At 43.5% G+C, this 15992-nt stretch overlaps 1 protein-coding gene across 3 annotated transcripts in view; it reads right to left on the bottom strand.

The window, feature by feature from the left end:
• Positions 1–7694, bottom strand: part of TOGARAM2 (TOG array regulator of axonemal microtubules 2) — a 95713-nt gene extending 88019 nt beyond the window's left edge. For 2 of the 3 annotated variants that reach the window (XM_047443568.1, XM_047443570.1), the window contains exon 1: positions 7515–7694. The gene's annotated coding sequence lies outside the window, so the exon portion shown is untranslated. The remainder of the gene's footprint in view (positions 1–7514) is intronic. The other variant, XM_047443574.1, reaches the window with a different exon arrangement.
• Positions 7695–15992: the final 8298 nt, after the last annotated feature.

Raw genomic sequence — 15992 nt, 5'->3', positions numbered from 1 at the left:
ATGCAGCAAGAACTGGCAGAATTGAAGGAAAAACAGACAAATGTATATTGAGATTTGAATACTTTAATAGGCCTATTTCAGTAATTAATGGGAGAAGTAGATACAAAAAGTAGAAAACCTGCATGACACTATCAAGCAATTTGATTCCATTGATATTTACAGACCATTGCACCCAACAATAGCAGATACACATTCTTCTCTTTTTAGATGGAGTTTTTGCTCTGTCACCCAGGCTGGAGTGCAATGGCGCGATCTTGGCTTACTGCAACCTCCACCTCCTGGGTTCAAGCAATTCTCCTTTCTCAACCTCCAAGCAGCTTGGACTACAGGCGCACACTACCATGCCCAGCTAATTTTTGTATTTTTAGTAGAGACAAGTTTTCACCATGTTGGCCAGGCTGGTCTTGAACTCTTGACCTCAGGTGATCCGCTCACCTCGGCCTCCCAAACTGCTGGGATTACAGGCATGAGCCACCGCATTCGGCCAGGTACACATTCTTTTCAAGTACATAAGAAACCTTCACCAGCTAGGTGCACTGCATGCCTTGGCTGTCATCCCAGCATGTTGGGAAGCCAAGGCGGGAGGACAGGAGGATCACTTGAAGCCAGTAGTTCAAGACCAGCCTGGGCAAATAAGCAAGACCTCATCTCTACAAAAAAACATTAAAAGTTAGCCAGGTGTGGTGGCATATGCCTGTAGTCCTAGCTACTTGGGAAGCTGAGGCAGGAGGATCATTTGAGACTAGAAGTTGGAGGCTGCAGTGAACTCTGACGGCACCACTGCAGTCTAGCCTGGGTTGACAGAGCAAGACCTCATCTCTAAAACGGAAGAAAAACAAAAACATTTGCCAAGATAGATCATACACTGAGTCATAAAACAAATCTCAATAAATATAAAGGATTAAATCCTATAAAATATGTTCTCTTAGAACAAAATTAATCAGAAATATCAAAAAGATCTTTGGAAAATCCTCATATATTTGGAAACTTAAAATCACACTTTTAAATAATCCAGGAGTCAAAGGAGAAAAACAAGAGGAGGAAAAATTAAATAATACTAAGAACTGAATTCTTAAAATGAAAACACCACAGGCTAGGGGCTCATGCCTGTAACTCAGCATTTTCAGAGGCTGAGGTGGGAAGATCACGTGAGCCCAGGAGTTCAAGACTAGCCTGGGCAACATAGGGAGACCCCAACTCTACAAAAAACAAAATTTAAAAATTAGCCAGGTGTGGTGGCTTACACCTGTAGTCTCAGCTACTCAGGAGGCTAAGGTGGGAGGATCACTTGAGCCCAGGAGATCCGGGCTTCAGAGAGCTGTCTGGGCAATGGAGTGAGACCCTGGAGACAGAGAAAAGGAAGGGAGGGAGGATGGGAGGGAGGAAAGGAGGGAAGGAGGGAAGGGGAGGGAAGGGGAGGAAAAGGGAGGGAAGGGGAGGGGAGGGAAGGGGAGGGGAGGGAAGGGAAGGGAAAGGGAGACAGAGAGGCAGAGGGAGAGGGAATCAAAATTTATGGGGTGCAACTAAAGCAGTGTATAGAGGGAAAGTCTACCTTTTAATGCTAAACTGGAAACAATGCAGATCTCCACCAGCAGAAGGGATAAACAACTTGTGGCATATCCATACCAACACATACCACTTGGCAATAAGGACAAACTACAGACACATGCAACATCAATCAATCTCAAAAACATGGAGGATCCGTCATTGGAAAACCAGAATCACGAGTAAATATGTAGGCTGGGCACGGTGGTTCACGCCTATAATCCCAGAACTTTGGGAGCCCAAGGTGGGTGCATTATGAGGTCAGGAGTTTGAGACCAGCCTCGCCAACATGCTGAAACTCCGTCTCTACCAAACATACAAAAATTAGCTGGGCATGGTGGCACATGCCTGTAATCTGAGCTACTTGGGAGGCTGAGGCAGGAGAATTGCTTGAACCCGGGAGATGGAGGTTACAGTGAGCCGAGATCATGACAGTGCACTCCAGCCTGGGTGACAGAGCGAGACTCTGTCTCAAAAAAAAAAAAAAACTATGTATGTATATATAGTGTATATAGCAATATCCGCAAATTCTCCAACTGTGAGACTTACGTGTCCCAAAAAGATGATATAAATCTTTCTCTTCCTTAATGATGATTTTTTTTAATTTCTGGAAGAATAATAGGCCCAACTTCCCTTCTGACTATAGTCATATTAAACAAGCAAATCCCATCAATGATAAATGTCACTACTGTAAAAACTACTTAAGTTGTAAGGAAATATTGTTTCAGAGACTTAAAGTAATTGTAGTTGGAGAAAAAACAAAGAGTATCTTTGTATGATGTTATTTATATGAAGCTGAAGCAAAGACACTTATTCCATAATGATAGAAAGTATATCACTGGTTTCCTCAGACTTGTGGAAAAGAGGGACATTTGGGATTAATTGGGAAGCTGCACAAGGGAATCTTTGGGATAACAGAAATCTTCTGTATCTGGATTGTGTTGTGACTATACAGGTGTAGACATTTGTTGAAACTCATTGACCTTTACACTTAAAATATTGTTATTGATTATAAATTACACCTCATGCCGGGTGCAGTGGCTCATGCCTGTAATCCCAGCACTTTGGGAGGCCAAGGCGGGCAGATCACTTGAGATCAGGAGTTCGAGACCAGCCTGGCCAACATGGTAAAACCCCATCTCTACTAAAATACAAAAATTAGCCGGGCATGGTGGCGGGCGCCTATAATCCCAGGTACTTGGGAGGCTGAGGTGGGAGAATCGCTTGAATCTAGGAGGCGGAGGTTGCTGTGAGCCGAGTTTGCGTTACTACACTCCAGCCTGGGTGGCAGAGTGAGAAAGATTCTGCCTCCAAAAAAATTAAAAATTAAATAATAAATTATACCTCAAAGCTTTTTTTAAACAAAAGCCTTTGTCTACTGCTCTGATGGCTGGGGCCAGTCTCTTGTCACTCTGGAAACTGAGGACACTTGGATTCTACCCAAGCCTCCAAGCAGTGGCATATCAGTCTCGGAGCTTCTAGCTGGTGATGTGCAGAGGGCCTCAGAGGACTCAGGACAGCAGGGTCAATTTTTTTGACCCTAGGCTGCTAACTCACTGACTAGAACTGAATCTGGTTCTCTTCAGTTTTGCACCAACTCTGCCAAGCCACTCTATCTTATACTAAACATCATACTCAAACCAAAAAAAAGAAAAAGAAAGACTTTGTCATTATCTTGCCTCTTGGTGTGTTCCGGTATGAAGTATACAGCATCACCTTTGATGTCTTGTCAAATCGAATCAAGCTTAAGACCTGTGCTGTTTCAGACCATAGCCACTAGCTACATGTGGCTATTTAAACGTAAATTAGTGAGAATGACATAAAATTAACAATTCTGTCACTCAGCCACATGGATACATGTTAGGTGCTCACTGGCCACCTGCGGTGAATGACTTCCATTTTGGACAGCACAGAGAACATTTCTGTCATCACAGAAAGTTGTACTGGGTAGTTCCGAGGTACAACTTCCAGATGATAGAAAATACAGAGGGTACAGGAATGAGTTAAACTCACTTAGGGAAATGATCTAATCCAGCATGTGGCTCATTCTGCAAGACAACTGGCCTGGTCTCCTCGGTGTGTGATTGTTACAGATAAAACTAAGGGGGCAAGAGGGTAAGAGACCGTTTTAGAGCAAAAGTAACTAAAGAAGACTTGACAAACAAACCCAGTGAGTGAGTGTGGATTGGATCCTGATTTGAAAAGAAACTGAATATTAACGTGCTGCTGCTACACTCCAGCCTGGGTGACAGAGTGAGCAAGATTCTGCCTCAAAAAAAATTAAAAATTAAATAATATTAAATAATTAGACAGGAGGATGGTATTAGGGGATTACGGTTTGGAGCTTCAGAGATATAAGAATGGTATTGTAGTTATTGCAGGAGTCATAATCTGTAGGCACGTCACCCTGAAGTAGTTAAGAATAAAGTGTGATGATGCCTTCAGTTTACTTTCTAGTAGATCAGCAAAAATAAATATATGCACACAAATACAGATGAAGAAAAATATAGCCAAATATAGTCATGGACTGCATAATGACATTTTGGTCAATGTTGGACCACATATACAACGGTGGTCCCATAAGATTATAATACAATAGCGTATTACTTGGCTTTTTCTATGTTTAGATACACACATCTCTCTGTGTTCCAACTGCCTACAGTACTCAGTCCAGGAACATGCTGTCCAGGTTTGTAGCCTAGAAACAATGTAGGCTACATAAGATAGCCCACATGTGTAGCGGGCTGTGCCGCCCAGGTTTATGTCAGTGCACTCTTTGATTCTCACAATGACACAATTTCACCTAACAACATCTTTCAGAACATATCCCCGTTGTTAAGGGTCATATGACTATATCAACAGTGTTTTACTTTAAGTGGCGTGTATATACAGATCATCATACTATTCTTTTTTTTCTTTTTTTTGAGCCAGAGTCTCACTCTGTCGCCCAGGCTGGAGTGCAGTGGCACGATCTCAGCTCACTGCAAGCTCCGCCTCCCAGGTTCACTGCCTCAGCCTCCTGAGTAGCTGGGACTACAGGCGCCCGCCACTACGCCCGGCTAATTTTTTGTATTTTTAGTAGAGATGGGGTTTCAGCATGTTAGCCAGGATGGTCATGATTTCCTGACCTTGTGATCCGCCCCCCTCGGCCTTCCAAAGTGCTGGGATTACAGGCATGAGCCACCGCACCCGGCCTATACTATTCTTTTAACTTTTCTGTATATTTGAAATTTTCCTAAGTTGGGAAAAGAAGTGAAAAACCATATTCTTCTCCCTCTTCCCCACTATCATTGACATATGTAAACTCCTGGATTTCATGGACAAAGTCTATGGGGAAATTGATGCAGTTGGTGTATGATGTGGTTAATTTCTTTCTTATTTTGGCTATTACTTCACTATTTAAGGACATGAGGGGGAAACATCAATTCAAGCTTCCTATGCTCAGCAACTGTGTCAGACTAAAGAGCTGCTGCAGCTTCTCTTGACAGCTGGGCACTTTTTCGGGTTAGCATCTGTAGCCCGGTGGGGAGTTTGGTCAGGTCCAGGGAGGGTACAGCCAGGCCAGGGAAACTGGAGGTGCAGCCACCACCTGGAGACTCGATCTCCTCCCATCAGGATTCCCTCCAGGCCCCTCTCATCACGCCTGCTGCTGGGCTACAGTCATTCAGGTTCCGCTTCAGGACTTGGACACCAGAAAAGAGCTGCAAGCACTTTGGAGATTCTCTCAGCCAATCCCAGAGGGCTGGCGCGCAGAAAGCTCACATCCCCACCCTCCACGGGAGTTTAGACAGGAGGCGGCCAGAACCAACTGCTCTCCCAGAAGGCTGGGATAAAAAGAAATTTGCACAAAGCAAGACTGGCACCTAGTGGATGCTTTTTATATTGACGTTTGTATTATACTTCTAACCAGAGAAAGTAACCTGGACAATCCCGACAAGCCTGGTGAAGATGAGAAAAAATACAATTGTAGCAACCTGGTCGTGCTTCCCCTGAATTCACCAAATCCAAGGAACAGCAAAAAGCCAATACACACGTGTGCACTCCAAAATCCAAAAATGGAATGTCAGCCCGCTGTAGTGGCTCACGCCTGTAATCCCAGCATTTGGGGAGGCCAAGGAGGGAGGATTGCTTAAGCCCAGGAGTTCAAAATCTGGGCAACTTAGCAAGACCCCAACTCTACAAAAAATTTAAAAACTAGCCAGGCATGGTGGTGCATGCCCATAGTCCCAGCTACTCGGGAGGCTGAAGCAGGAGGATCACTTGAGCCTGGGAGTCCGAGGCTGCAGTGAGCCATGATCATGCCACTGCACTCCAGCCTGAAAAACAGGGCAAGACCCTGTCCCAAAAGAAAAGGAAAAAAAAAAAAAACAAGGTCTAGTGAGGGAGAAAGGATCATTTGGAGACACCTGAAAAGAATTTGCCATACGCTCTCCACTCATTCAAACTCATTTTGGTTGCTTACCACTAGATAATCTCTTACACCTGATTTCCAACCAATCAAGGACCTCAGTTCTAAAATGCTCAAGTTGCAAATTTCTAGAACGGACCTATTTGTCTTTCACTTTCATCACTCTTGCTTCCTAGAAGGCCCTCCCTCAAATCCTAAAATCATTTAAATCCCTGGCTCTTAATAGATCAATTTCTTTTTTGTCATGACTGTAATGGCTTCACTGGTGAAAGTTAATGACTCATTCTACCTCACATCCTAATTAGTTGCTCAACTGTGTCTCCCTACTCATCCCTATGCCATAGTCCCCCTCCTAGGGACATTCAACACTGTGTCAAATGCAGGGCCCTGAACACCCAGCTGTGAGAGAGTGGCAAAAAAACAAAAACAAAAAAACACCTCTCCTATTGAAGATACCCTCCCCACCCTTGTAGACCCCCTACTCCTTCCCTATCCTATGAAACTGAAGTTCGAAATAAACACACAAAATCATTCATTCATGAGGTAAGAGTGTGGTAAGTATCATGTGAACAAACCTTATCAATGTTGCCCAAACTGGAATGTTCAGATATACACACTCCTAAAGGAGCAATGAGATCATTTCTTCCAGCGTCATGACTCCAGCCAGAGGGAGAAGAGCCACAATTTCCCAATTTTAAAAAATCATCATCATTGTATTACTATCATGTGAGAAAGGTACATTTTAATGTTATAATATTCCGTAATGAAATCAATTCTTGGCCAGGCGCAGTGGCTTATGCCTGTAATTCCAGCACTTTGGGAGGTCGAGGCAGGCGGATCACCTGAGGTCAGGAGTTGGAGACTAGCCTGGCCAACATGGCGAAACCCCGTCTCTACTAAAAATACAAAAATGAGCCAGGCGTGGTGGCGGGCGCCTGTAATCCCGGCTACAGGAGAATTGCTTGAATCCGGGAGAAGAAAGTTGCAGTGAGCCGAAATCACGCCACTACACTCCATACTGGGCAACAAGAGCAAAACTCCATCTCAAACAAACAAACAAAAAGAAATCAATTGTAAATTAACCTATTGGCTTATCACAAGCCCAATCAAAATTCCCATAGGATTTGTTTTTCGTTTTTTGTTTTTTGTTTTTTGAGACAAAGTCTCCCTCTTGTGGCCCAGGCTGGAGTGTAGTGGCGCGATCTCGGCTCACTGCAACCTCCGCCTCCCGGATTCAAGCAATTCTCCTGGGATTACAGATGCCCTCCACCATTCCCGGCCAATTTTTGTACTTTTAGTAGAGACAGGGGTTCGCCATGTTGGCTAGGCTAGTCTCGAACTCCTGACCTCAGGTGATCCGCCCGCCTCGGCCTCCCAAAGTGTTGGGATTACAGGCATGAGCCACCATACCCGGCCAGGATTTATTTTTAACTTGGGTAAAATATTGTGTGGAAGCTCATCTATAAATTGTTACAGCCATACTGAGAGGCAATTTGACGGAATCTATTGAAATTTAAGGTACATGTAGCCTGTGACCAGAATTCCACCTCTCCTTACCCACCTGAGAAAGATGCTGGCACAGGTGCACATAAGGCAGGCACGAGGTCGCCGCAACTTCACTTTACTGAGAAACAGGAAGCACCCCAAGCATCTATCGATCAGGGAATGGCAGCAGTGGTTCTCCGAAGCGCAGCCGTAACACAGCAGCAGCAGCAGCATCACGTGGGACGCATTCTTTGGCCCCCATCTGGCTGAATGAGAAACTCCAGGGTAGGGCAAAGCAGCCTGTGTTTTAACCAGCCCTCCCTCTGATCCTGCTGCAGTTAAAATGAACGTAGTCCTATGTTATTAATTTGGAAAGTCCTCCAAAATATATTGGGTTTAAAAAAAAAAGCAAGCTCAAGTTGCAGAATGCTGCATACAGTATACCATTTATGTGGGGGAAAAGAAATCACTTATTTTCTGAGAGCACATCTGTATGTAGATTCACAGAAATCACAGATTCACAGAAATGATTTGGAGTCCAAAACTCTAAAGTAACAATGGTAGCCTCTGCACGTAATCACTAAGCCAGGTGACGGGCAGTTAGTCTAGCCTTAGGTGTCATGTTTCCATCTTTTTTACAAGAATGTATTTCTATAATACTTGTCTAATTAATATGCATTTTTTAATGAGCTTCCTAGAATAGTCAGTCATAGAGCAGGAAAGAAGAATGGTGGTTACCGGGGGCTGGAGGGAGAGTTTACTGTTTAATGGATACAGAGTTTCAGTGTGGGAGGATGAGAAAGTTCTGGAGATGGATGGTGGTGATACACAGCGTGAATGTGCTCACTGCCACTGAACTGCGTACTTTTTTTAAATGGTTAAAATGGTAGATTTTATATTTTACAACATTAAAAAATAAAAATGTGTGTTTTTTAAATGTTAACAGCTATCTGTCCAGCTCAGTTCCCAATGAACCAGACTTCTAGCATGAAAACTGCCCTCTTCACAAGGCTCCTGGCAGTGTGACCCCAGCCCAGGCAGGGGTGATTGGGCTAGGATGAACACCTGAACCAAAATGCAGCCAATCAGATGTTCCTCCCAGGAAGTGGGAGTACGGACTGGCTCAGGTTCCCAGCAAGAAACAAACACTGTTAAGCAGGGCTAAGAGATTTTTTATAAAGGGACTACAGTACTTAAAACGGTGTGAGTGGAGTTAAGGGAGCCTACGAGGAAGAGTGAGGCATTCTGGGACAGGCGGAAAGCGACCAACAGGAGGAAATTGTCACTAGACTTCCAGCCAGAGTGAAGGGCACAACCAGATGACCAGGGAGGACCCCACCAAACCATAGCCCTGCAGAGTTCAGCAGGGGAATGTAGACTCTGACCGTGTGGCCTCCCACACTCCAATCTCCAGCAAGGGAGTTGAGCTGATGCCATCGGTGGTACTCAGCCTCCAAAGGCATGGAGCAGATGGAGAAAGGTGTGGGGAGAGGGCTGGATCTAAGGGAGCAGAGAATGCCCAGCTCTCCTAAGAATCAGCAAGTGGCTGGATGATAACATCATAACCTCAGGAACAGTCAGGCAGCCAAACAACAGCACGAACTCCAAGGCAGCAGTTAAGAGACCACACAGCACTTTGGGAGGCAGAGGCGGGTGGATCACAAGGTCAAGAGTTCGAGACCAGCCTAGCCAACATAGTGAAACCCCGTCTCTACTAAAAATACAAAAAATTAGCCCGGTGTGGTAGCGGGCGCCTGTAATCCCAGCTACTCGGGAGGCTGAGGCAGGAGAATCGCTTGAACCTGGGAGGTGGAGGTTGCAGTGAGCCGAGATCGTGCCATTGCACTCCAGCCTGGGCAACAGTGCAAGACTCAAAAAAAAAGGGACTACACAAAAGCCCTAATGATTCTGTCTCCTGTAATCCCTCCCTGCAGACAAGCTGTCTCTGTGTACCCTGACAATTCTTTGAAATTGTAATTACACTTGTTTTGCTTCAACTGCCCCAATTTTTGTTTCTTACAACCAAATAATCTTTACTTAGCAAAGTGGGAGAATGAAAAGGCAAAAGATATTTAGGAAAATATTTCAAAGAGGTATAAAGACAACAACAATAAAAATGAATTCTAAAAGCCCCCGAAGTTAAAAATAATGTACTGTCGAGAGACAGCAATGGCATAGAATGGATAGTGCTGAAAGACTAGGATCCTACCGTAATAAAGCAAGCACGAGTGTATAGGATGGAAAGAATAATCCACAGTGTGCAGAAAACGGGCTGTGTGTGTGGGAATCCCAAGTGAGAGCCTCATCTCACAAGACACACCACAAAGAACTCCGTATAGATCAGAGAGGCAGCCTTCAACTGCTTCAGCACAACAACACATTTTAGTTGCGTACCCCCTAAAACAAATTACTTTAAGTATGTGCAATGCACTGGTATGTTCTACTTTAATTACATTTTCTTCTTTAAAAAGTGGTGGCTGCAACCCACTTTAATTATTTCATAATGCACTGAAAAGTCACAATTTACTAAAGTGTAAAAAATATAAACACACACACACAGAGACAACGAGAGAGACGAGAACAAAATGCAAGAAATACCTGCCTAGTTTCAGAAAAGGAACTTTTTTTAAGCTTAAAAATACAGTTTAAAGAAAAATAGTATTGGCCAGTGCAGTGGCTCACACATGTAATCCCAGCACTTTGGGAGGCTGAGGCAGGCAGATCACTTGAGGTCAGGAGTTCGAGACCAGCCTGACCAATATGGTGAAAACCCATCTCTACTAAAAATACAAAAATTAGCCAGGCATGGTGGCACACAACTATAATCCCAGCTACTCGGGAAACTGAGGCAGGAGAATTGCTTGCAATTCGGGAGGCGGAGGCTGCAGTGAGCCGAGATCACGCCACTACACTCCAGCCTGGGTGACAGAGTGAGACTCTGTGTCAAAAAATGAAAAGGCAAACTGTGGAAAATATTTGCGGCACATGTTTGGAAAGGAATGATTCTCTTTTATAAAAAGACTTTTTTTAAGCATGGACAAGGATCTAAACCCACAATAAAGAAATACAAATGGCAATGAGCATTACAAAAGTAGTTAAACTGAGTCATGATGAAATGGAAATAAAAACACTGCTTATGGAGCATAAAATTGATGGAACCTTTCTGGAAATTTTGGTATATTTCTTAAGTCTTAAGGGAGTATGTATGTCATTTTTCTCAGTAAGTAGAAATATCTCATAAGGATACATTTTAAGAAAAATACAAAATGTGTCTGAGAATGTTCCCTCTAGCATTACCTACAACAAATTAAAACATGAGAACAGTGAAAGTACAACATGGGTGGAATAGTGAGAACCACAAACATGATTTCAAAGGATAATTGACAATGATATTGTGTGAAAGATGATAAAATGAATATGTAGATGCCAGTTTCCTAAGAAAAGCATGTGTATTCATGCAGAGAGAAAAATTAAAAGGAGACACACCAAAACACTATAGTTATCTCTGTTATATGATTTTATTTTCCTTCTTTGCCAAATTTCCTCAATGAACATGTCACTGGCTTTCAAAACAATAGATTGTTACAATCTTATTTTAAAAAAACATTGTATTAAGTTCCCTTTTTCACCTTTGGAAAGGGGAACTGTGTCCACCCATAAGGCTGTGTCTGGATTTCTTGATAACGCCAAAGACAAAAAAGAATTTCCGTTAGAACTTATTCCCCCATCATGTAACAATTAACTGTTCTGAAAATAATCCCTTAGCCAGACGCTGCACTCTGATGTTCAACGTGTACCCACAGATGCTGCTCCGTGAGGTTCTTACAGCATCCATGAGACAGGTGGCACTGCTGTTACTCTCCTGTCACACTCCAGAAAAAAGAAGTCGAGTTATAACTGCCACACTGTAGGGTGGACCCAGAACTAGCACTCAGCTTCTGGACCCCAATGCAGTCTCTTCTCACAACAGACTGACTTGCATTCCTGTCTGCCCTCCTTTTATTTCTTGTACCTCATCAAACCACAAAAGTCCCCAAATGAAAGACTGCCAGTTGCACAACAATGTGACTATACTTCATGACAGAACTGTATACTTAAAAATGATTAACATGGTAAATGTTATGTATATTTTGCCACAAAAAAAAAGGGAGAGGCCTTTGTCGAGGTTGAGTCATGAATTAACAAGGTCAAAGTCTGGCTGAATCTATCCAGTTTGTTTTTTAGGTATAACCGTATTCCTAGGGAACCCAGGCTCACCAGCAAGCTATCCCTAAACTATGAGAAAGCACCCTGACCAGCAACCCTAAGTGGGTGCCTGAGGAGACTCAAAACATCCAAATTCCAGCCAGTCAACTGTTTGTTTACAATTCCTGTTGACAAAAGGAGAGTGGTCAGCAGGCAGTAAGACGACCTAGCACAACACACAACAGAGTCAAGAACTCCAACCCCATCAGTACAGACAGGCCAGGCTTCGTCCACACCACCAGCTACGAAGGCCACCCAGTTCATTTCTCTTACCCCAGTTCCACACTCTGGTCCAAACGCAATCTTCCAGTTATGAAACTGGTTTATTATGCAACTCTCCTGAGTACAAAGAAGGGTCACCACCCAACGAGAACATCCTGCTCCACTGAGAGGAATGTTACTTGTCGCAAATAAATACAACATGCAAACACAATTTCTCTTGGAAGGCTGGTTAGCAATTCGACTCTGTGAAATTGCATCAAATCTAGAGACAAGAACAAAGCTTTGGCCCAGCTTTGGAACATCATGACCACACACGACCAACTAAGGGAGCTGCCGAGTCCTCGCTCGACTTCAGTGCTGCTTCTGGTCTCTCTGTTGAACTTTCTGGACAGCTCTAGGTCGGGCAGGAATCTCTAACAAATTAAACTACAACAGGGCCATGGGCAAGCCTGGGGGAAAATGTCTTCATTACCTCGTTTTTATTTCCCTTTAAAGGCCCTAATTTTAGCACCCGAAAGATGTATCTCCTCTCTCTCTGAGCCATTATTACCTAGGATATGCCAGGCCATTTTAAAGTGGTAATTTTCAACCTTTGGATTTTTCATATGACATCCAAGCAAACTTCATTTTGCACTGCTTTCTACACAATGACTTGTAATTGTTCTGGGACAACAGGCGTGTGCCACCATGCCCAGCTATTTATTTTTCTCAGAAATATTTTCATATTAAAAATTACCCACATATATATGAACACAAGTTATACTATGGATGGGTACAGACAACCCAGTGTCCTCACACAGAGTCAGCCAGCACCATGCGAAGACGAAGCACTACCCACCCCATGCTTTGTCCACACCGGGCGTCCTCAGTCTGAATGACGCCTGCTAATCCTGTTACACTGCTACGGCTTCTCATTCTGCCACTGCTTTGTGATCCACCGCACAATTCTGTCAGCATAAGGACAGTGCTGAGGTGCCACAAAAGTCAAAAGCTAACTACATTTGATTAAAAGAAAATCTAATTTTATGCCTGAGTTGTCTTCAAAGACATGATCACAAATGGTCACAGGAGGAGCACTGGAAAAGCCACTGCTGCCTGGATGGGTTCACCAGTTATCTTACCAATTACAACTGAAAGAAACTACAGCTAAAGAATGGCAAGAATTCAAATCTGGCCGGGCGTGGTGGCTTGCGCCTAAGCACCACGCCCAGCCAGCACTTTGGGAGGCCAAGGCAGGAGGATCACTTGAGCCTAGGAGTTTAGGACCAGCAACATGGCAAAACCCAATCTCTATAAAATAAATATCAAAATTATCCAGGCCTGCTGGTGTGCACCTCTAGTTCCAGCTACTCAAGAGGATGAGAGGCAGAAGGATCACTTGAGCCTAGGAAGCATGATCATGCCACTGCACTCCAGTCTGGGTGAGAACAAGACCCTGTCTCCACAAAAAAAAAAAAAAAAAAAGATAATTCAAATTTGAAGAGAATAGAACAAATATCAGTTCCTCCTACCTCATTGTCACTCTTTCTTGGGATCCCTGGGGTCCCCGCTCCTGCCCAGGACCAGGCCTGGGGGCTCTTTCTCTATTCAGACCATGCCCTTGGGAAGCTCACCCAGTCTTAGACAGCTTTAATGTCACAACCATGCCAACACCAAATTACCACCTCCATCCCAACCTCTCCCCAAGTTACGTGGGTATGTACCTGCATGCCTAATAGGTATCTATAACACACCATGTCCAGAACTCAGTTCCTGATCTCTCCTCACAAACCCACTCCACCCACAGCAGCATCCAGGTGCTAGCAAAAAGCACCTGTGAATCATATCTGCTTTCTGGCTTCCTTGCACATCTCATAAGAAATCCCATCAGCTCTATCCCAAATATCAGAAGCCAACCAATTCTTTCCAACTCCAATAATACCACCCTGACCCAAGTTACCATCACCTCTTCCCTAGATTGCTCTAAAAGCACCCTACTGGTTTCTGCCTTACAAGAAACTGTCCTTCAGTGCTTTCTCAACCCAACAGCCAAGGTGATACTGAATTCTTAACACAGAAGGCAGACCATGTCACTCTTCCGCTCAAACTCTCGTCAGTCAGCATGTCCTTACAATGGCCTCAAGGCCCTACGCAACCTGACTGCTCGCTACCTTCTGCTTTAATCTCCTTTTCTCACTATGCACCACATGGACCGCCTCTCAGTCTTTCATAAACCAGGCTCATGCGGACCTTAGACTCAAGCTCTTGTCTCTTCCCCAGATACCCACTTCGCTGACTCTCTCACCTCTTCCCAGTCTATATTCAAATCTCTCCCTCTCAATAAGCCCTATCCTGATCACATATTTAATTCTGCAACAGCACTCCCCCACCCTAACTCCCAGCCTCCTTAATCTGCTATTCCACCTGTAGGTTGCCATCTTCTAACATAGGTCCGTGGTCTGTTAGGAGCTGGGTTGCACAACAGGTGAGTGGAGCGTCAGCCAGCAAATCTTCATCTGTATTTACAGCCACTCCCCATTACTCACATCACTGCCAGAGCTCCACCTCCTGTCAGATCAGCGGCGGCATTTGATTCTCATAGGAGGGCCCTACTGTGAGGGATCTAGGTTGCATGCTCCTTTTGAAAATCTAATGCCTGATGATCTGTCACTGTCTCCTATCACCCCCAGATGGAAGTGCAGTTGCAGGAAAACAAGCTCAGGGCTCCCACTGATTCCACATTATGGTGAGTTGTATAATTACTTCATTATATATTATAATATAATAATAATAGAAATAAAGTACACAATACATGTAATGTGCTTGAATCATCCTGAAGCCATCCCCTCCCCTATCCAGTCCGTGGAAAAACTGTCTTCCACCAAACCAGTCCCTGATGCCAAAAAGGTTGGCATTTACTCACTCATACATTGTTTATGGCCATCATCTCCCTAGTAGAATGTCAGCTTCTCAAAGGCAGATATCCTCCATTGCTGCTGTTCAATGGTTATGTATCAAGCTACTAAATAATCCCTGACACAGAGTAGGCAATCAAGTAGCACTTGCTGAGTCAATGAATGTAGCATGTTGGGCATTAACCTCCAATGGAATTATAACAACCCCAGATATATCAATGCACCTGATGTGTCCATTATGAAGTTCCAATTTCTGAGCCTCACTTGAAGCATTAACCATTGCACTACAGCTTCAAAAGCCCCAAACCTGAGGCTCTGACATCTACTCACACTAAAACATACTCATATTCATTTATACCTAAGTAATTCACTTTTAAAAATTCATCTTAAATACCACCACCTTTTTAGGATTGCTGCCATAAAGTATTTAAACCAGAATCTAATCATAAGGAAACAACTGGACAAATCCACAATATAGGACATTCTACAACATGACTTAATTTATGTGAACTCATTTAAATATTAAAATCCACACACACACAGCATGAGGGTGACTATTCTGAATTATTAGAGCAATATGACAAGTAATTACAATATATGATTACTGACTTGACAGTGATTGGAGGGCTGAAATTTTTCAAAAAAAAGTTTGGGAGGAAAAATTAATCTCAAAAAAGAAAACACACACACAAACTTTGTTGCCTGGTTTAGGAGTGGAAAAAGACAATGAAATATTCTAAAAATAGAAGATTCTTTTTGTAACAACACTAATTTAACTCCAGATTTTTCTAAACCAAAAAAATAATTAGAAATTACCATATGGTTGTCATCATTTACTTCTTTAGGCAGAGTCAGGTATAAGGGAAACCGGACTCATAAGCCAAGTGTTGGTTACCAGTAAAGGACTGAAATTATCAGCACAGGCCTCTTTCTTTACTGTCACTACAGCCCTGGGTTGTGAAGTCACAACCCAGCCAAGTGGGAATGCATGAAGAATCAACTGGCTATAGCTGACACTAGACTAACACAAATGTCTTGGTTCTTTCACTTCGTTGCAAATTCTAGGTTATCCACAAGCTTTGAAAGCATTTACCTATTTAATGCCAGGGGAGCAAAACTGCTTTTTAAAAACCTTCACACCACAAGCCCAAACATGTGGCTGTATTCCTCTACATATACCACAAGACAAGCAC

This window comes from Homo sapiens, chromosome 2 (genome assembly GCF_000001405.40).
Source record: "Homo sapiens chromosome 2, GRCh38.p14 Primary Assembly".
Lineage (NCBI taxonomy): Eukaryota > Metazoa > Chordata > Mammalia > Primates > Hominidae > Homo > Homo sapiens.
Note: the sequence above shows the minus strand (reverse complement) of the source record. Positions and strands in the feature narration are given on the sequence as shown.